The 22,814-nt window shown below is 42.1% G+C and overlaps 2 protein-coding genes across 23 annotated transcripts in view; one reads left to right on the top strand and one right to left on the bottom strand.

Annotated features, from left to right (window-relative positions):
* The window catches only part of CHN2 (chimerin 2), a 367,738-nt gene extending 350,790 nt beyond the window's left edge, over positions 1-16,948 (bottom strand). For all 3 annotated transcript variants that reach the window (XM_011515105.3, XM_011515106.3, NM_001398427.1), the window contains exons 1-2: positions 16,794-16,948; positions 16,579-16,690 (exon numbers count right to left, since the gene is read on the bottom strand). The gene's annotated coding sequence lies outside the window, so the exon portion shown is untranslated. The remainder of the gene's footprint in view (positions 1-16,578; positions 16,691-16,793) is intronic.
* CPVL (carboxypeptidase vitellogenic like) overlaps positions 1-22,814 on the top strand; it is a 200,816-nt gene that overhangs the window by 31,913 nt on the left and 146,089 nt on the right. For 2 of the 20 annotated variants that reach the window (XM_017012366.2, NM_031311.5), the window contains exon 1: positions 17,002-17,110. The exons of 15 other annotated variants lie outside the window; for them this stretch is intronic. The gene's annotated coding sequence lies outside the window, so the exon portion shown is untranslated. Of the gene's footprint in view, positions 1-17,001; positions 17,419-22,814 lie in introns of those variants that run through there. 3 more of the 20 variants (XM_047420531.1, NM_019029.3, XM_011515437.2) reach the window with 2 other exon arrangements.

Raw genomic sequence — 22,814 nt, 5'->3', positions numbered from 1 at the left:
TGTCTCTTAGGTAATAATTGCTCATATGCATATGCCCATTAACATATGTGTCAATTTTCAGGGTACCATATTCTTTGCTTAGAGCAGGAAATAGAAATATAATATGAATCACATATGTAATTTTAAATTATCTAAAAGACACATTTTTAAACATTTTTAAGGTTGAAAATAATTTTAATAATATATTTTACTTAATTCAATATAGAGTATTTTAATCAATATAAAAACTATAAGCGAAGTATTTTACAATGTTTTTCATACTAAGTCTTCAAAATCCAGTATATACTTTACACTTGTAGCACGTCTTAGATTTAATAACATTTACAATGGAGAAACAGATTCATATATCAAACATGCTTAAAAATTTTCCCATAATAGAATTGAGTATCTTTTTTTAATTTTTAATTTTGAAATAATTACAGACTCATAAGGAGTAAAAGTAGTATAAACAGATCCCATGAATCCATCAACCCATGGTAACGTTTTACATAACTATAGTTCATTATCAAAACAAGGATATTGATTGGTACAATTAACTACACCTCATGCATATTTCACTGTTATTTATATGTATTCAAATGTTTTATCTGTCTCTGTGTATATTTCTATAACGTTTTATCACATGTACAGAATTGTTTAAGCACAATCACAACCAACATACAGGACTGTTCCATCACACAAATGATCTCCTAGTGCTGCTCTGTTATAGTTAGGCTCTCCCTCCTCTTCCCTAACCTTTGGCAGCCATTTCATTTATCTGTTTTCTCTGCAACTTTGTCATTTTAAGAATGTTGTGTAAATGAGATCATACAATGTGTAATCCTTCGAGACTGGCTTTTGTCACTTGTCATAATGTTCTTTTTTTTTTTTTTTTTTTGAGATGGAGTTTCACTCTTGTTGCCCAGGCTGGAGTGCAATGGCACGATCTCGGCTCACTGCAACTTCCGCCTTCCGGGTTCAAGTGATTCTCCTGCCTCAGCCTCCCAAGTAGTTGGGATTACAGGCATGCGCCACCATGCCCAGCTAATTTTGTATTTTTAGTAGAGATGGGGCTTCTCCATGTTGGTCAGACTGGTCTTGAACTCCCGACCTCAGGTGATCTGCCCGCTTTGGCCTCCCAAAGTGCTGGGATTACAGGTGTGAGCCACCACGCCTGGCCATCATAATGTTCTTAAGATCCACCCTAGCTGTTTCATGTATCAGTAGTTTGTTTCTTTTTTATTGCTGAATAGTATTCTACTATATGGTTGTGTGTTCAACTATTCACCTTTTGAAGAGCATTTGGGTCATTTCCGGTTTTTGGCTATTACACATACATTTGTGAACAGTTTTTGTGTGAATATAAGATTTTACCTGCCTAGGATAAATGCCCAGAGGTACTGTTGTTCAGTTGTATAGTAAATGTGTGTTTAACTTTTTAAGAAACTGCCAGATGCCCAGAGTGGCTGTACTGTTTAACATTGCCACCAGCGATGTCTGAGAGATCCAGTTTCCCTGCATCCATGCCAGTGTTTGGTATTATTAGTATTTTTTATTTTAGCTATTCTAATAGGTTTATAAGTGATCTGTCTTGGTGATTTTAACTTACATTCCCCTGATAGCTAGTGATGCTGAGTATCTTTCATGTGCTTATTTGCCAACTGTCTATCTTCTTTAGTGAAATGTCTGTTCAACTCTTTGGCCCATTTAAAAATCAGATTGTTTTCTCACTGTTGACTTTAGAGAACTCTTTATATATTCTATAGATAAATCTTTTACATATGATTTGCAAATATTTTCTTCCAGTTGGTGGCTCATCGTTTTCATCTTCTTAACAGGGTCTTTCACAAAGCAAAAGTTTTTAATTTTTAAGTATCTATTTTTAAATTCAAATGGATTTAAATTAAAAATTCAGTGAAAAGGCCAGTCTACCCATCGTGGTTACCTACTGAATAGCAGAGGCTTAGAGAATACATGGAATTTGGTTAGGGATCATTCCAGGTCCGGGACCACAATAACCAGGACCAGGAGCATGAATGGGTATGAAAAGTTAAAGTGAATAGACAGACCCAACTGGCAAAAATGTGGGGTTCGAGATAAGTAGAGGGGGTCCAGCTGGAAAGGGAAGTTGGGTGTAGATTGTGAAAGTTGCTGCATGCTAAGAAAACTGTTGAAATCTTATCTGGCAGGCTCAGTGAAATCCTTAGGTTTTCCTGACCAGGAGAAAGATGTGCTATAGGGAGTGTTTTAGGAAGATTCACTTGGTAACGGGGTTCAAAGGGGACTGGAAAAAGAGTAACCATGCTGTCCTTCCTTTGCTTCAGTTTCCCTGCACAAACCCTCATGTGCTAAGACATGAGCCTGGTCAAGGCTAATGTTGAAAACATTTCAGTTTTTCCCCTAACCTTGAGCACCTTCCTCTATCTTGCTCATCATAGATAAGGTAGAACGAAGGGGTTTAAGATAATATCTGGTAAGAAGTCAGGTAGCTTCTAGGTATTATACAGAAAATAAGTTTATAGAGTTGAAAAGAAGGGTGAGAAATTAAAGTTTAAAAAAGCAGGAAAAACTCAATCAGAGGAAAGACTCAAGAAAATGACACTTGTTCTTAATATTATCTCAGGGGTGACAGATATTTATAAAATTAATCTGTAGCTTTTCACGTTAATCAAAAAATAGAAAAGACTATCAACCTAGTGTCAATGATTAATAGATATTATCATTTGAATGTGATAAATAAGTCAAGAGGTAGACTGGTCTCAGGGTGGGTTTGTTAGATCAACGTCATTAAGAGCCCAGGCTCTTTTAGCCCTTCCTCTCTGCCTCAGTGCATATGTGGTTTTTCCTCATGGTCACAAGATGGCTACCACAGCACCAGGCATCATCACGTTTTCACAACACACCACCCAAATTAGGAGTCAAGGTGCTGGGGTTAGGGCTGAAGATTGTGGTACTTCCCCTACCTTCTGACAGGGAGAAAAATCTTTCCCAAGCCCTCCATTAGAATTCTCATTATATTTCACTGACCAGGACTGGATTACACACCCACTTGTAGACCACTCAGTGGCAAAGGGAAAAGGGGTAGCCATGACTGACTAGGGTCAAACATGACTCAACTCCTGGGTACATTATTGCCCAAACTAAAAGGAGATACCAAACAGGAAGGGGAATGACATGGATAAGCCAGTAACGTTGTCAGCCACATACAGGAACAGGAAAATTGATGGGAGAACATCAGGGAATCAGATAAGTTTTATGAAACATTAGTCTAATAGGTTCCAGAATGTACTGCTCATGTCTGTCACCGTGAACATCTGGCACCAACTTCACACACTGTGGGTGGCCAGTACATATTTTAGATCAACTGACTCTAGAAAGTAGCAAACTGAGTAAGATTTAAACATGTAGAAATATTATGAGGGCCAGGAAACCATGTTGATCTTAGGAAAGTGAGCTTTCTTTATCAGAGAGCCAGAAGGACACAATGTTTAACTTTTAGTGAGGCAAGATAATAATGAAGATTGGCTCTCCACAACACTGTGTGCTGATGGACAGGGCACATCTAGTCAGAAGATGACCACCAACCAGAAAATGACGTGCACCCATGGGCACACAAAGGATGCCATTTGGGGACAATTAATTACGTCCTTCCACAAATACTTAAGCATTATTTTATGTCAGGCACTGTTCTAGGCACTTGCATTACACTAGTTGAGACAAATCACAATAATTTCCTGTTTTCATGGCTTATTTTCTAGCATAAGAATGAGTGAATTACATAGTAAGTCAGCAGGTGATAGGTGCTTTGAAGAAGAGACAGGACAGAGTAAAAGGGATCAGTAATCCCAGGATGTGTGCTGTGAGGTAGGTTAAATAGGGGGGTCAGGGTAGATCTCACTGAGAAGGTGACATTTGAGCAAAATGTCCTCTGCACGAAGCGGGGAAGGAGGAGGCATAAGACTTGTGTGGGAAGAGGTTTTCTCGAATTAGCCACCCCATTTCATCACTCTACATAGGAGAACTACAATGATAACACATACATGTTACATGATAAAACACATTTGAAGTGCTTTACTTTTTAAAAATAATAGGTTTTCATTCATCTGAAGCAACTTTCAAGGCAGATAGTTTTCCAATACTGCCATCCAAAACATTATTCTGGTATAGAATAATTCATCCCACCTTTAAGACCATGAAGGCTCTGTGATGCCAGGATGCTGCAGGCATTTGGGTTTCAACCCTTATTCTGCTTCTAACCAGCTGTGGATAGTGGAAAACCACGTGACCTCTTCTGTGCTCAGTTTCCTCTTCTGCAAGTGGAAGAAGCTGAATAATTTTCAAGGTCCATCTCAGGTCTAAACTTCTGTGACTCCCAGATAAAGAAATCTGCTTGCAGGAGTCTGCACAATGCTTTCTCACTGGCTCTGGGAGGGCTCCTTGTGCTGTGTAGCCCATTAGGAAAACACTGAAGAGCCACCTAATGACTTAATGGGCTTTAAAATGGGTGGCTAGGTTTTAATTTTCTCTGATAGCAGATTCCCTGAGGGAAAGTGTACTTTACAGTGGATAATAACTACATAGGATATTTCGATTGCCGCAGGGTATCTTATTTGGAAATCAGTTTTCAGTTACATTCCTCTAGCAATTTTTACTATCAGAACAAAATGAAAGCCCCCAAAGGAATGTTTATACAGAGCTGAAATGTGTTGGAATGTCAGAAGTATCTCTCTAAGAGTTAAGCATCTGTAAATATTTAAAATAGGGTGAAATCACAAATACTGCTACTACTAATCTCTTTCACATTTGATTACAGTCCAAAAAGAACAAGCAAAATCTCCAGGAACACTTTTATATTAAACTGTTAACTCTACGGCCATGTCTAATGACTCAAATTATAAAAGAAAGTTGGGTGAAATGCATAATTCACCTATTCAGGCATACAGTCAGCTCTACACATGTGAAAACAGATCTCGTAGAGGATGTTGAAGGAAATATTTTCCTCTCTGGTAAACTTAAGTATCAATATTATCACATAAAGACTAGGCTACACAATAAAATAAAGTGAGCCATTCTGCCTGAATTTTCAGGATTCAGCTATCCCCACTCTTACCCACACACATCATAGCTTTACACATTCCTCTAGTTTTCTTTGGTTATGGATCAGACATCATGTTACATGTTTTAGTCACATCATCTGATTTAATCTGCTCTACAGCAATAAAAAGTAGCAATTATTTGCTCTATTATAGGATGGTGGAAACTGAGGTCCTAAGAAAATATGTGTGTGCTATAAACTGCTTTTCCTTCAAATGGCAAAGAACACTGAAGGAAGATAGTCCTTGATTGTAGACATTCATTCATTCCGGAACTCATGCTCTTCTTAATATACTCAACTCTAAGGAAACCTTCCTACCAATACAGCCCACTCCCCTCTTCTTAACCAGTGTTCAGTGGAGATGGGAATTTGGAGGAGTGATGAGCTCATTGTGTCTTTTTTCTCCTTTATTTGATTACCTCCCTGCCATCTTGCCTTTTCTGGGCTAAATGATAACACTTCCTTCCGTTTCTCTTTGGAACCATTTTCAAAAAACATCTCTTTAGGAGTGGAATCACAAATGAGAAACAGTATTTTCATAAGGAAGAGTAAAATGAAAGGACTGCCGGAGCATTTTTACATTAGCACATGACATTTCTAATAATCTACATAGAAGGATTTTTTTTTTAGCATCCTCCTAAGTGCCTCTTTGAAACCTCTGTGACATATGAGATAGCTACTGACTAATTTGTTCTGGCAGAAAAATGAGTTTAGTGTTATTGAAAATATGTTTTCTATCACCAGATCTTGTTCAGGTCATTGAGTGGCTTTTCACTGGTGAAGGGGAGTAGGATTTATCTCCAATGAAACATTATGGAGCGGAGAGAAATAACATTTGACCTATCCCAACATTAGCAAAATGCAAATCATAGTCAATTTTCCATAGGGTGATATTTTCATACTTTGGATTTTTGTAGTTGTGCATCAGTCTGAACATTTTAAAGCAAGGTGAATGAAGGGTCCATGAAAGAGACTGTGAATAAGCCACTGTGCGAAGCTAACTTTAAAGTTTCCAGCTTAGTGACTGAGATAACGCCATTTCTCTAGAGAAGTTCTAAATATAGAGGAATAATGGATAGCAGTTTACTGCAAGCTATGTAGTGCCCTAAACCAGCAGGGGCTGGGCATTGAGTGGAGAAGGATTGCAATTTTGAGGTTGATTAAAGATGCAGTACTGACAGGTTCCAATGGGTGTAGCAGGGTGGGGGAGGGGTCGCATCTCATTCTTTTTTTCCTCCCCACTCAGAGGTGTGGGTAGCTGCAGTGTAAACTGCTGATGTGGGTGATTAGGATGTTAAGTGGGAGAAAAGACAGCTCTTCATTATTCTTTTGGAAATAAAGAGGGATAAAATTCAGCAATCATCAAGCCTTTTCATTTCCCTACAATTTGTCGGTGCAGCTAGGAGGCTGGCTTCCTTTCCACAGACGAGATTACTTCCTGCTGACATCAAGTGGGGGTAGGGTGGACCAATGTGTGAAAAAGAAAATTGAGCTCGAAGGGTAGCTTTTGTTTTGATGTTTGTTAGATGTCTTTTCTTGTGTTAAAATTAGATGTATCACCTACTGGCAGCCACAGGATTTTCATGTTGAGAATGCAAGGCAGATTTTGCTAGATAGATCTCCAGGTGCATAATCCACTGTCAGTTTTGATAAAGAATTATGACTTCTTGGACTTTTTCTTTAGCTATGCAGAAGCTAAAAATCTGATAATTTAGCATAATGCTTGTGTAAGCTGTGCTGGAGAGTAATACATAGTCGCTTTCATACTAACATAAAGCTCCTTGGTCAAAATTACACCAATAATGCATATTTAATTAGCGTTTATAGATATCTAAAGAGGAAAAAAAACCCACAAAGTTTCCCTCACAGATGACCTTTATCGGGGATGCCTTAGCTGAGTTCCTTCAGATGCCTCAGGGCAAAATTTCAGCCCCAATAAAAGGAGATGACATATGGCTGGTTATTTCACAAGATCGCCATCTTTAGATTGAATTTAACTTTTTTTTCCTCAGAGCTAGAGCTTTATGGAGTTTTCGGGTTTTGGAGGTAGCTTGATGGTACAGTGCCTCAGATTTATAATTTCTAATTAAAATGTGTCCTTCATATCAATTTTAGAGAAGTACCAAGCTTAATTTTGGCATTTAATCATCGAAATTTGTTTTGACATTTTTGAAACACAGATCCCAATACTAAGATGTAATTACTTTGCAACAGATTTGCAAGGAAGGCGACAGGCCACAGAAGAACTTCTAAACACAGGCAAAACCAGACGAGTCCAGTGGGGGAATGGAAGATAGACCTGAATGTCAAAAAACTCAAAAGTAAATATATGGTTTTCCAGTTTTCTCTGTCTGAGGGCTCACCTTGCACACATTAACTCTTCCCTCTCTCACCATGCTTCGCCGGTTTATCCCTCAGCACTCTTTTGATTTAAGGGAAGAAAACCAATATTAAATGTAAAAGTAAGTTTTCTCACTAACAGCCCAAGGGGCACAGCTGGCTAGGCTGTGCAAGAGCACGTGGCCGTCTCTAGATCTATCGGCTCAGGGCCTATTTCCCAGCTCACAGACCCTGACAGGACGCTCCGATGTGGTCTGAAGGACAGAGGGCATTTAGAAATGTCCTCGCCTTTCCAGGTGTCCTGAGGCCTAGAAAAAAAAAATCCATCACAAGGATGAGATTTGTCAACAGGACCCCTCCAGCCAGCCTACCCTCCTGGCTCCCGATGAGGGAGGACTGTCCACGGTTGACCTTGCTAAAGGACAGGATTTAAAAACACGGAAGCAGGACGATGATTGGAAGAATCCAAAGCTTGTATTCCAAGCTTCAGATTGGAGTGGAGGCAGCTAGACAAAGAGGTGAGAAAAATGGCAGTTTTGGTGTCAGAGAGACCTATGCTTGAATTCCAGTTCTGACACTCAGTAGCTCTTTGATCTTGGACACATGTTTGAACATCTCTATTCTTCTGTTACATCCATTAGAAAATGGAGAATATAATATCTACCTTTTCGGGTTACAGTAAGGGCTGAATGACCTCATGTGTGATACACTTAGCATGACTTTGGCTGGTAGTAAGGATTTAATACCTTTTAATTTCTTTCTTTTCTCTCAGCCTTGTCTTTCCTCTTAGCATTGGAAAGAGTTCTATTTATTTATTTTTGATAATGGCTTTTTAACTTATGTTGTTAAAATGTAGTTGTTTTCCCTGAAATGGTGCAACCCAAGTTTAGATAATAATAATACTTCTTTATTTTCATTTATTTATTTTTTTGAGATGGAGTGATATGGTTTGGCTGTGTCCCCACCCAAATCTCATCTTGAATTCCCACGTGTTGTGGGAGGGACCTGGTGGGAGGTAATTGAATCATGGGGGCAGGTCCTGTGCTGTTCTCCTGACAGTGAATAAGTCTCACGAGATCTGATGGTTTTAAAGAGGGGAGTTTCCCTGCACAAGCACCCTTCTCTTTGCCTGCCACCATCCATGTAAGATGTGACTTGCTCCTCCTTGTCTTCCACCATGATTGTGAGGCTTCCCCAGCCACATGGAACTGTAAGTACAATTAAACATCTTTCATTTGTAAATTGCCCAGTCTCGAGTATGTCTTTATCAGCAGTGTGAAAATGGACTAATACACGGAGTCTCACTCTGTCGCCCAGGCTGGAGTGCAGTGGCGTAATCTTGGTTCACTGCAACCTCTGCCTTCCGGGTTCTAGAGATTCTCCTGCCTCAGCCTCCCAAGTAGCTGGGACCACAGGTACGTGCCACCACACCTGGCTAATTTTTTTTATTTTTAGTAGAGATGAAGTTTCACCATGTTGGCCAGGCTGGTCTCAAACTCCTGACCTCAAGAAATCTGCCTGCCTCGGCCTCCCAAAGTGCTGGGATTACAGGCATGAGTCACCGTGCCCAGCCTAATAATAATACTTCTTTAAATATCGATCAGGTGTGAACTGTTTCATGACATCTAGAGTATAAGAAGTGTCATCTCTTTTTATGTTTTTGAAAAAGAATCCAGTTTGAGCTCACACCTGCTGAGTTTGGCAGGAACATCCAAAATCTACAGGTGAAGGGAGGCAAAGAGAAGGGATGGGGAAGCCCCACCCATTTAGCTCATACAGACATGCTAGAGGCTGATTCACTGCATACGAATGGAGAGGGGCCTGATCTCCAGCATTTACACTGCTGTTGCCCTTATTGTTCCTTCACTTACTCAGAGCTGCTGGCTGGGGCCCCTCCTCTGTCTGCTGGCATCCTGTTCCACAGATTCTGCAATGAGAAGCCCACCACCCTCCTCCCCAGGGGCAACTGTCAGAATAAATGAGGCTGTGATGTGGTGACAAACAGGTCCTAGATATTAGTTCAGTTGACTCTCGAGAAATGCAGAGGTTAGGGCTGTCAACCCCCTGTGCAGTCAAAAATGCACATATAACTTTTGACTTCTCCAAAACTTAACTACTAATAGCCTACTGTTGACCAGAAGCCTTATTATAACATAACAATTAATATATTTTGTATTTTATACATATTATATACTATATTATTACAAGAAAGTAAGCTAGAGAAAAGAAAATGTTACTAAGAAAATCATAAGGGAGGCCAGGTGCGGTGGCTCATGCCTGTAATCCCAGCACTTAGAGAGGCCGAGGCAGGTAGATCACTTGAGGCCAAGAGTTCGAGACCAGCCTGGCCAACATGGTGAAACCCTGTCTCTACTAAAAATACAAAAATTATCTGGGTGTGGTGGCACACACCTGTAATCCCAGCCACTCAGGAGGCTGAGGCATGAGAATTCCTTGAACCTGGGAGGCGGAGGTTGCAGTGAGCCAAGATCATACCACTGCACTTCAGCCTGGGCAAAAGTGAGTGAGACTCTGTCTAAAAGAAAAGAAAATTATAAGGGAGAGAAAATGTATTTACTGTTCATTAAGTGGAATTGGATCACCATAAAGGTCTTCATCCTCATTGTCTTCACATTGAATAGGCTGAAGAGGAGAAGAAGGAAGAAGAGGGGTTGGTCCTGATGTCTCAGGGGTGGCAAAACCAGAAAAGGTAGAGAGGTGGGAGAGAAGGTGGACACACTCAGTGTCACTTTTCTAGAAAAAAATCCGTGTATAAGTGGACTTGTGTAGTTGAAACACATGCGTTCAAGGGTCAACTGTAGTTTAAATCAACAGATGTTTATTTATTTCCAAGCCTGCCTCTTTCTTTGGAGGCTTGGGGCAAGAGTACACACAGAGGCCCACATACCATATGTCTAGATATGTAACACTTATAAACCAGGGAACAAACTGTTAAATGAAATATACCCTCTTACCTTGAAAGATATACCTTGATAGCAACCTAGATAATCAATTTGAGTTTATAATTCTGAGACTTCCTGAAGTTCTGTGCTACAACATGGTGGTGTAGAGTGCTACCTTTACACCTGTCCTTCTCCTGGACATCCTTCCCTGTGCATCCCAGCTCTGTAAGCATGGCCTTTGGCCACCCCTCAGATAGAGGATGACTCCAAGGAAGAGTGGCATGCAGGCTCTGGAAGCAAGCTTGTGGACATTTGGGCAAAGAATTCTGAGGTCCTTGTTATTCAGACCATGGAGGAGAATTTGCAAATATGGAATCCACGAATAACAAGGATCGAGTGTATTTTGTTTTGCTTGCCTGTTTCTTGTCAAAATTTACTGAGAGAAACTTAACAATGGGGTGCACCGAAAGAGACAAAATGGCGTTAACTCTTCCAACCGTCTCAGAGCAAAAGAGCCCAGAATTTAACAGCTCTGTGTCAGGTCACTTTTCTACTGAGAAGAAGGGATAATTCCTTTTTTCTTTTTGCTGATAGATCTCTGGGTGGGGTGGATGGGAACAAACTAAGCCCAGGCAATTTATATCACATTAGTGATCATGGTGTCACATGTGGCATAAGACAGGCACTGTATCATTTAGCTAGTGCATTCAGACTCCTTGGCTCAGTAAAGGTGGATAGAGTGGGTAAGTTGTTATGACTTCCATTTTCAAATGAGGAAAGCAAGAAAGATTTAGCCAGGAACTGAGAATAGAGAACAAAGAGACCTGGGGACTGGCTTTCTGGCACCTTTTCTCTTTCTCACTGCTTGGTGCTCCTAGGTGTAGCTGTCTCAGAATCAAGGGGGAATCCTTTAAATCCATAGCAGTTAACCCAGCAAGAAGTTCTGAGCAGTCTAGCCTGAGCTGCCACGCATAAAAAGCAACATAAGGTTTTATGCAATTGCTTGAGCATTCCTACCAAGAAATACCTTTTGCCCATTTTACTTGTATTCCTTTATTTGGTGATGTGACCTAGTTCTTGAAGTTCTGGAAAACCCTTCAGAGGCTATAGAGTCACTTTTCTAGATAACCCACTTTGGATCATGCAACTCTTCATAGGCACAATATGAGTAAGCAGAGCACCTGCACTAACCACTATTTCCATTCGAAGAAAATAAAATAAAACCTAAACAAGAGAAAAAGAGGAGACTCCAAATACTACTTCACCTAAGGGAGTTTGTTTACTATCTGTTTGTCCTTTGCAAATGTCTTTCCTTCAACCAGTGAATGACCTGCTTGCTATGGGCCAGACATTGTGTTGATGGCTATACATACAATTTCGTCAAATCCTCAGATCAGCCTTGTAGGATTGGTGGTGTTCTCTTCCCATACATGAGAAGGCTAAGGCTTAGAGAGGTTAATTAACACAGCAAAGGTCACACAGCTAATGAGTGGCTGAGCTGGGATTCAGATGCCATCGGTCTACTCCTAAGGCCATGCCCTTAATCAGATACTATCCTGAGCACACTGGCAGGTTCATCATAATATCAATATATACCTCGCAGGGCTGATGTGAAAATTAAAAGAGATGATATATATAAAAAGTGTTGGGCAAACCATAAAATCCTTACAAAGTTTCACTATGATTATTTCTCTTGGTTTTACACAGGGCTTGCTCAGCTGTCCTTAGTGGCCATGTCTATATTAATCCCATAATTTATCCTTAAATCACCGAAGTCTTATTTGCCTGGCTTTTTCCATAGCCGAAGGGAAACTGAAAATATGCCTTTTGTAAGAAAGCCTTAACACCTGCTGCTAAAGGGCGCTAAACCATCTGGATCGTCAAAGGAGTATAGGCTCACTTACAAAAGACGTAGATTAATTTGGACATTGTTTCCCTACATAAACCAGGCATAAGGAGGCAAGCAACCCAGGGAAGGATAATCATGCTAAGAGTGGAAGCACTTATTAGAAATAATTACCATGTAATTATCCACAACTTCCCTGGAGTCTGTAGCCTGTGGCTAGTCTTAGGAGGTGCCCCTTCCTTACCAAGTACAAGGAGACTGAAGCACTTCAATAAGTTGATCAGGGCATGTGTCTGTGTCTTAGAGCTTGGTTACCGCCACCTGGGCCTACTTCTCACTTAATGAAGCCTTCAATGCTTATAGCTGAGGTGCAGAACAGCTGTAGACTTTCTTCAGCTGGATCTACCACCCACCCCTCCCTTTTTTAATAGCACAGTGTTGTTTTGCAAGTGTGTGGGTGTGACACATCTGGCTTCGTTCCTTAAGAAAAGTGTTTATTGAACAATTAATTGTGGTGCATGGGGGCTGTGACATTTCTCTTTTCGCTGTGCCTCTGAGCTGTGTTTCCAGGCTACCCGGTGGCCCCATTGAAGATCAGTAACAACACTGAAAAGGAACAATGGCTATAGAAGCCTTGACAAGTGCAGGGAGAGACCTAGACACTTCCAAGAGGGGCATGATTGCCTACAAGGTTAATCAATTCCCCTTGTTTCCATTGCAGCTCCACATTTATCTTGCTGGCAGCAGCTGCAAATGTAAAATCAGACCTACAAACTTAGACAATTGGAATTGTATTTACCTGATCAAGATGTGTAAATGATCTATTCTCTGTGTCTTCTTAACTGGAATTTAAGGAGTTCAGCAAAGCTCCGGCTATAGGTCAGTGAGAAGCATGTTTTTGTGTGGTGTCCAGATACAATTTAGTTGTCTTGGATAGACAGTTGGAAAGAACTGCAGTCACAGCCTAGAATCTTGATTGTCATGATCACCATTATTATTGTTACAGCTGCCATTTTTTGAGCCTTTATATATGACAAGCACTTTATATGTACTACTATCTTATTTCTTCCTCTTGATAATACCGCAAGATAGCTAATAGTATTTTTATCATGTACAGATGAGAAAACTGAGATTAAGTAACTTGCTTATGGTCATTAGGTGCAAGGTTCTAGATTCAAACTGAGTCTGACCCATGCTCTGAACCACTAGGGCTTAACAAACCCAAACCTCACTAGAATATGCAGGTGCAGAGAACACAAGGGCTTGTGATCGACCTGACAGTTTTAAATCTTGTTTTCAGGAAAGCCAATCAAAGAAGGCTTAACGAATCTCTTTGCAAACCGATTTGTTGGCCAACCTTTGAATATTCTCAATACAAGAGAAGGGCTAAAAATATCTATTGCAGCAGTGAAGTGGCCTTATTTTGAAAATGAGTCTTCATAGAAGTAATCAAGCTAAAATGAGGTCATTAGAGTGGACCCTAATCCAATGTCATTGGTGTCCTCATAAATAGGTGAAATTGGGACACAGAGACAGACACATGGAGGGGAGACACTGTGAAAAGACACAGAGAGAAAGCCCTGGAAGGCTGAAGCAGAGATTGGGTTGATGCTGCCACAAGCCAAGGAACACCTGGGGCTACCAGAACCTAGAAGCAGCGAGGAAGGATCCTTCCCCTCCAGGTTTCAGAGGGAACCTGGCCCTGCTGGCACTTTAATTTCAGACTTGTAGCCTCCAGAACTATGAGACAATAAATTTCTACTGTTAATAGCTGCTCAGTTACAACCTCCCTGGAAAGCACATACTCCTGTCCTATGGTTCTATTCTGTTCTGTACTATTTTGTTCTATTTTATTCTCTTTCATTAAGAAAATGGATTTCCAGGCTGGGCACGGTGGCTTACACCTGTAATCCCAGCACTTTGGGAGGCCAAGGCAGGTGGATAACTTGCGGTCAGGAGTTCGAGACCAGCCTGGCCAATATGGTGAAACCCCGTGTCTACTACAAATACAAAAAATTAGCTGGCTGTGGTGGCGGGTGCTTGTAGTCCCAGCTTACTCGGGGGGCTGAAGCAGGGAATCGCTTGAACCCGGGAGGTGGAGGTTGCAGTGAGCTGAGATTGCGACATTGCAGTCCAGCCTGGGCGGCACAGTAAGACTCTGTCTCAAAAAAAAAAAAAAAAAAAAAGGGAAACAGACTTCCCAATCTACTAATTTTGAACAACATCAGTCTCTAGAGCTCAGCATTCTTGCCCTTTCCAAGCTGGCTCCAGTCTAATTTTCTAACCTCAGTATTAGTTAACCCCCGACCCACCCTGAACACGCCTGGTGTCGCACAGTCCATCTGTCCAAGAGCACAGCATCAACCTGAGTGCAGGTGGCCTGCTCATTGCCTGTGCTGCCACCTTTCCCCTCAGTGGCTATTCATTTTTTAATGTCTAGCTTCAAGTCACCTCCTCTGACAGGATTCCCCTGGCTCTTCGGGCAGAGTCATTTGGTCCCTGTCCTCTGTTCCCCCACACACACACTTTATCAGCCCCAATTACAGCTCTTATATTGTATGATGGGATCAATCTGTGTGTCCCCTTCATCCCTTCCCCACAACTAAACTTCAAGTTCCCTAAAGAAGACTATCTTTTTTCTTGTTTTTTCTTTTTAATCAAGTGTCTAGCACAGAACCTGACACACGACAAATCCGAATACAGGGTACCCCAAAAAGGTCAGTGCAGTTTTAAGCTTTAATAACTTCTTAAGTCGAAATGCTACAAACTTACAAAACTCATTTGAACGTTTACTTCTTTTGACTCTGTTTTAATTATTTTAATAAATGTAATTTTCTCTTCTGGTTAATGTATGCCATATTTCACTCAGGGGAACTGAAACAAAAATTAAAGTTAAAACGTGTTATTCAACATTCACAGAGATAAATAGTGTTAAATTAACTTTCAAATGGTGTTCTTATAAGTTGCAGCATTTATAGCCTTGAGGTTACTAAAACTGCAGGAAGACTTTTGGGACACCCTGTTTTTGAATAAATATGCTTACAGCATGGCTCCTCCTGTGTTTACTGTAAAATTCAGTTTAGTTTTTAAGTGGTTCCACGTGGGCACAGGTATTCTTTGGCCAGTAGTTGTCCTTATACTTAGACCCAAGGAGCCCTTGTCCAGGGCCCACACTTTAGAAGGCAAATTCCAAATTCCCTCCCCAAATGGCACTGAGCCTGCTTCAAGGGTCTGCACGCCAGCAGCAGTGTTATCTGCTAATGTCTGTACTCCCATGGGCGAACATTGCTGACTCTGGTGTTCATACTCTTGTGCCCAAGAGGTGGCTGGGGGACAGCTGCTTCTGGGAAGCTTGACCGAGCTTCCACCAATGGACTAGAGCCCTGTGGGAAGAGAGGAGGTGGCTGCAAACCAGGAACTGGAAATCGCCTCTCCCTGCACCATCATATTTAAGTGCAGATCATCCAAAGTTTCAATCTGGCCTTTCATGTCAATTCCCAAGGTATATTTGTCTAGGTAGGAAGGTAGAACTTATTGTACTTAATCATTTGTTAACTTTGTTTATAACTTTTAAATATTTAGGTATCTGGCCTACAGATCTCTGTTTGTACTTTTGCCCTGGGTCCTGCATATATTAAAGGTGGGCTGATTTTGGCCTTAAAAGAATTATTTTCCCACAAACAGATTTTTCTCCTTAAAGAGCTAGGTGGGTAGGAAGTACTTCCATATGGAAGGTATGATAGCAAAGAATGACTGCAGTCACTGAGCACATACTTTGTGCTGGGTGATTTACACATAGTTTTTCAGTGAGTCCTCACAACAACCCAATAAAGTAGGTACTTAGGAGAAAACAGATATTCAGTGACATTAGTTTGTTCCAGCTCGTAAAACTAGTGCTTTAGTTAGCCTTAGTTGCATAACAAACTACGCGAAACTGAAAGTGGCTTAAAACAATTTTTCCCCCTGACTGTCGGGTTGGCTGGGCTGCTCTACTGCGGGTTTCCCTGGGCTCACTCCTGCAGCTAGCTGTGAGGAGATGGAGGTTGGCCCGGGACAGTGCAGAAGATTCCCCGTGGCCTCTCCCACCTGTCTGGCAGTTGACGCTGCTGTTGCTGATAATGATGACCCTCCTTTATTTTGTGTTATCTACTTGCCATTGCAACCTCCTTGCCTTTTTTAGTTCTTGCTCCCGTACTGTCTGGCTCGATGCCCAGCACCTGGTGGTGGCTAATAATATACACTCAGGTCACTTACAAGCAATGTGACCCTGGATGGGTTACTTAACCTCACTTAGTTTGTGTCCCCCAATTGCAAAATGGGTATAATGGTACAGAACACATCAGGTGGCTCTGAGACTCCAGCGCAGTGATTCAGGAGAGTGCTTGGCAGGACAGTGGCACTTGGTGCGAGCTTACTGCTAGTGCAGCTGGAATGTAGACCATCAGCGAACGTGTGTTGCCTTTTTAAACAGTGGGAATCAAACACCACTCGCTTTCCAAATGTAAATCCTGGGCTTGCAAGTAAGTCCTAGAGTGCAGAAATAATTTCAAAATACAGGGTTGAAATTTTAAGATAGCAGCTTTTAAAAACTGGGAGACAAAATCAAAATAAAACAAAGGGACAAACCAACCTGAATGGCACCCCGCCGATGCTCTTCATTAATTTTTAAGATTCCACCCTGGGGCTGCTTGCTTCTTCCAGCATGGGAAGCGCTGACTTGATGCGGCCAGGTTTCTGGGACCAGGAGGTTGGGACACGACGACGCACTTTTTGCCCTGTGGGTCTGGGTCATGTGAGCCTAGAGGAGCGCTTAAAGGCTCGAGTTCTGCAGGGTCCTCGTGACTGGGTGGGGCTGCCTCACTTCTGCCTGATTTGGGAAGCGCTGCAAGGACAACCGGCTGGGGTCCTTGCGCGCCGCGGCTCAGGGAGGAGCACCGACTGCGCCGCGTAAGTGCCGCCTGCCCTGCGTGGGTCGTGCCAGCTCAGCGGGACAGGTCCTCGCCTCGGTCCCTCGGACTTAGGGAGCGCGGGGCAGGTAGTCTCAAAAGCCCTCAGCACCAACAGGGGAGAAAGCACCGTAGAGTGAGACTGGAGTGGGGTGGTCGTGGCCGAGTCAAAGTTCAAATTGGAGCATTGGGGATGTACTGCGTGCGCCCAGCCGAGGGAATACTCTTGAAGTTTCCTGGCACAACTGTCGCACCCGGGGTTCTTCCAGGCTAGAAGCCGTCTCCTACTCCAGGAGCTCCTCCGGGGAAGTACGAAGCTGTGGGGTCCTCTGCCGCTCTTAGCGCGGGAGGGTGGCGGGTGCAGGACACTTTCCCTTACTCCCTCAACGCGTGTTTTGGGGATGTGTTGATTTCGTGGGTGCTCAGAAGCAAGAGAAGCGGAAAATACCTTCTATTTTGAACGTGCCCAAAGCAGGGAAACTTGGCTTCTGCCTAGGAACGCATAGGAAGACTTTTATTCTTGGAATGTAGGATTAGCAGAAACCAAGGGCACAGGAGACAGGTGGAAGCAGCTCCCTGTGAAGTGATACAGAAACAAAAGGACTTTGGAATATTTGTGGATTTAAATCCCAGTTCTGGCCTTGGCTAGTGAGTGACCTCGGGCAAATTATTTAAGCCTACTAAACCTCAGTCTTTCCATCTGAAAGATGGAGATAATAAGTTTTTCTTTTTAAAGAATTGTTTTATTGGAAATAGAAATAACATACAGAAAATGCCTCCCTAGCACGGGACTTGGCTTTTCAGCTAAGTGTAATTTTCCTTATCAGTTATGATTGATGATGAAGTCTATGGTGAAGACAGAACAAAATAATGTTTAAAACTCTGGCCATATAATGACTGTGGCTATGCATGACCCGTGTGCAGTCACCTCTGAGCCCCCCACCTTCACTGCAACCCCAGTGGGTCCCAAGCAAGGTGCTTGGGTTTTGGAGCTGGACAATTCTGTGCAATTCCTGGTTCCGGTATCCACTACTTGGATGACATCAGGGACGTAACTTATCTTCCACAGCCTCAGTTTTGGCATCAGTAAATGAAAAAGGAGCCCCTCAGTACTTGCCTTTCCCTTCCCCGGCTAAATGTACAACTCATTTTTTTTCCATTCTTTGCTTTGGGATGAGTAAGAACAAAGATGTAAGCAGAGTAAAAAGTCCATTGAGAATACATTTTATTAGCTTGGTAAATAACGTTTAAGAAAGTTGTCCAAAAGGAGAATTGGAGCACTTTTGGAAAAGTACACTGCACCGGCTTTGTTGGCATATGAAAGTCTGCATGGTCGTCAAGACCGTTTGGCTAACTGGGCATTCTAGATGTGTACCTCATGCTAGTCTAAGTACAGGGGCAACCCTTTATAATGTAGTGTCAGTGTTCTTAACCAGATGTTGTTTTATTAATCTTTTATAGGAGATGATTGTTTGGGAGGGGCAATTGATCCCCCAATTTATATAAATCCAGTTTATAAATCACTTTATAGTGGGATTCTACTAGCCTGAGAAATAGGTGGGTTTTGACTGACAGTTTGAATGACTTAGAAGAGTGTTAAGAAAGTCCACTGGGTTTACCAGTTCACTCCCCACAAAAAATAAAAACAAGAAGCAAATAATATAACAGAATTCTAAAAATGAGTTTGTTTTTGTTTTGGGAAGCATCTAGTTTGTCAGAGGAAACACTGAGTGTTGAATACTACCCTGGGATGCACAGAACTAAGGCAATGAGAGGGGAGGAACTCAGTTCTTGCCCCAGGTATCATCAGATATCTGTTTATTAGCACCCAAATACTCAAGGTAAATAGTAATGACCCATTCTTTCTTTTTTTGAGACAAGAGTCTCACTTTGTCACCCAAGCTGGAGTGGCACCATCTCTGCTCACTGCAACCTCCATCTCCCGGGTTCAAGGGATTCTTGTGCCTCAGCCTCCTGAGTAGCTGGAATTACAGGTGTACACCACCATGCCCGGCTAATTTTTGTATCTTTGGTAGAGATGGGGTTTTGCCATGTTGCCCAGGCTGGTCTCGAACTCCTGACCTCAAGTGATCCTCCCACCTCGGCCTTCCAAAGTGCTGGGATTACAGGCATGAGCCACTGTGCCTGGCCAGTGACCCCTTCTTAATAGGAAGTATGGTTCACTAAAGAGCAAACATGATTGTTTTAGTTTACCATTTCCGATGGCTTTATAATGTGAGATTTTCATTGACTGAACTAAGAACATTTAAAAGAAGTAGGCAAGCTTCTCAGAATTAGAAAGATACCTCTAGAACAATGACTCATTAACGTCTATATTGACTTGTGAGAGAGGTAAGCTGGGCAAAAAGCTAAGAACTGTACTTTCCTGGTAAAAACAGTAGTGGAGTTTGAACTTTTATACTATATTTGCAAGCTCAAAGATGTAAGCCTTAATAGACAGTTCACAAGACAGCTGTTACAGCGTATCTGAACTGAAACCAGGGTATTGAGATTGCTCTCCCTTAAGAGATATTAGAGGTATAACCTTGAACATGAAATCACATGCTTTCATTGCTTTAACTCAGACCCTGGGGTGCAGGACAGGGTGGTGGTAGTGAAAGAGGGGGAAGGACTGTGTCCTTAGATCTTGGAGCCTGAAAAAGCAAATTCTTAGCAGCTTATCTTTCCAATATAGTTGGAACTTACCTCCTACCTTTTTCTCTCTAGTCTGATTCTAGTTATTGGTTGTCTTTAAATTGCTTAGAATTGTTTACAGGCCAAAATATTTACTTTGAACCCTAAAGGTAAGCTCTTCCTCCTTTCCTTTTTGGGACTCTGTATCCCATTACCCCTCTTTCAAAAAGATAGTGCCACATATCTTTTTGTACTGTATGATTCTTGGGAGAGAATGTAACCCAGGTCCCAAGCGATTCATTTTCTCATTTATTTATTCATTTAACTAATTTTTTCCCAGTGTTTGATTATGAAAAGGTTTAAACTTTCAGAAAAGTCAAAAGAATTTTGCAATCTAGAATCTACCTAGATTCTATTATTGATTAGAAGCCAGGGTATTGATTTCAATTGATTAATCAACTGGCATTGATTAGTTCCTACTGTTTGCCTGGAGGTTTGCTCAGCAAAGCTGTAAAAACATAAAAGGCAGGGTAGGGTTAGGGAACAAGGAGAGTTTTGATTTGGCGGAGCATAGGCTAAGAGTTTGTGAAGGAATCATGTAACTTTGGTTTGAAAAGTTATGTTGAAGTTGTATCATGGAGGACATTAAATTTCATCGTAGAAAGTTTATACTTTTTCCTGGTTGCAGGTGGGAGCCATTGAAGGCATGGGAGGAATGGAGTGCCTTGTGTTTTAGAAAGCTCACTGAAGCATCAGTGTTAGGCTAAATTGGAGGGAAAAGGACCGGAAGTCTGAGAGATGTGTTAGGAAGCTTTGTAAATGTCTCGGGGCAAGTAAGGGTTGAACTGTGGATAGAATGGAGAAAAAAGGAAGTAGAATAGCACTTGGTGACAGATTTGACTTGAGGACTTCTGGTTTTAGAACTCAGGCATCTGCAATTATAAGGGAGCATCATTAAGAATCTGGAAGTCGCTGGGCATGGTGGCTCATGCTTGTAATCCCAGCACTTTGGGAGGCTGAGGCGGGCAGATCACCTGAGGTCAGGAGTTTGAGACCAGCCTGGCCAACATGGTGAAACCCTGTGTCTACTAAAAATACAAAAATTAACCAGGCGTGGTGGTGCATGCCTGTAATCCCAACTACTCAGGAGGCTGAGGCGGGAGAATCGCTGCAACCCGGCAGCAGAGGCTCCAGTGAACCGAGATTGCACCACTACACTCCAGCCTGGGCAACAGAGCAAGACTGTGTCTCAAAAAAAAAAAAAAAAGTATCTGGAAGTCATAGAAGGAGGAAGTTTGAGGAGAATGATGACGTCCTGTTATAGAGTCAGTGGGTTTGAGGGGCTGATTGGTTATCCTTTTGGAGGTGACAGCTGACAGTGGTGATACTGTCCTGAAATGCCCAATAGCAATGTCAGGACTGAACAAACATTTGGACTAGTGATTAATACTCAAGGGGTGGTTGAATGGGAATGTACGGAAAGAGAAAAAAGGATAAGATCTTGAAGAAAATCTGAATATATGGAGTCCTTGGAGCAAAAAATAAATACAGGTGTTCAATGATCTGTTAGTATTTTAATGCCTGTTTATCTACAGTGTTACTATAGCTGCAGTTCTCATTAATAATTGACCACAGTTCCTAACTAAAAGACCATATCTGCACTAGTAAAGTGAAGTAAGTCTTTCCTTTTCCCATTCTGGGAAGTTCAGGGGGTAAGGTGAGGCAGAGGAAAGAAGAAGAGAAAGTTAAATAAATTTTTTTATCTAGGACTTTTAGAGCATACAACGCTTTTTCCAGGTAACCCACTTGCAGATCAGAAGCCAGGTAATTTAATGAACTTGTCTATCTTTTCACAAGGCAACAGCTACTTTTTTTTTTTTTGAGATGGTGTCTCACTCTGTTGCCTAGGCTGGAGTGCGGTGGCACAATCTCAGCTCACTGCAACCTCTGCCTCCTGGGTTCAAGTGATTCTCCTGCCTCAGCCTCCTGAGTAGCTGGGACTACAGGCGTGTACCCCCACGCCTGGCTAATTTTTATATGTTTAGTAGAGACAGGGTTTTACCACGTTGGCCAGGATGGTCTCCATCTCCTGACCTCATGATCCGCCTGCCTTAGCTTCCCAAAGTGCTGGGATTACAGGCGTGAGCCACAACGCCCGGCCAAGGTACAGAGTTTTTAAGTGGCAGAAGCCACATTTGAAGCTGTGAAGGCATACTTTGTTTTTTTATTTTTTATTTTTATTTTTTGAAATGGAGTTTCACCCTGTCGCCCAGGCTGGAGTGCAGTGGGGCGATCTTGGCTCACTGCAACCTCCGCCTCCTGGGTAAAAGCGATTCTCTTGCCTCACCTTCCCAAGTAGCTGGGACTACAGGCATGTGCTACCATGCCCAGCTAAGTTTTGTATTTTTAGTAGAGACGGGGTTTCACTATGTTGGCCAGGCTGGTCTCCAACTCCTGACCTCATGATCCGCCCACCTCAGCCTCCCAAATTGTTGGGATTACAGGCATCAGCCACCGTGCCCGGTCTGAGGGCATACTTTAAATCTTTCATGCTATTCCCACCGGACTGCATTGCCTTCCTATATGCTACTGACTGTATGCTAGGTACTGTGTTAGGCGTTTGCACATGTAGGCTCCTTACTGTGGCCCCTCTGTTTTGAGAAGGTGATCAGCAGGGAAGCTCAAAGCACATTGCACAATTGGTTGTTGCACAATTGGCAGGATGTCTGCCCTCTGATTGTGCCTTGTTTTCACCCAACTTCTTGAACTCTACAGGAAGGGCCAGCCTCTCTCAGAAATGCCAGCCCCTAAAGCTGGTACAAAGGTCATGCAACCTTCCTACTTCCCTGAGTTCAACAATCACTTCATTCATTCTCCTTAAGATCATACCTAAAATCCTGGCTTATTTAAGGGTGAAGTGGAGAAAAGCTCTATTTTCACTTATGCATTTGTTTTACCCCATCAATCTTCTGCCTTCCCTCATTGTCCCACAGTTGTGCCTGTCTAAGGTCACTTTTTGCTTTTTTCTTATTTTCCTTCCCTGGGGAGTCTTTGGAGAGAGGGTGCGATAG

This window comes from Homo sapiens, chromosome 7 (genome assembly GCF_000001405.40).
Source record: "Homo sapiens chromosome 7, GRCh38.p14 Primary Assembly".
Taxonomy (NCBI): domain Eukaryota; kingdom Metazoa; phylum Chordata; class Mammalia; order Primates; family Hominidae; genus Homo; species Homo sapiens.
This window is presented reverse-complemented; position numbering and strand designations above follow the sequence as displayed.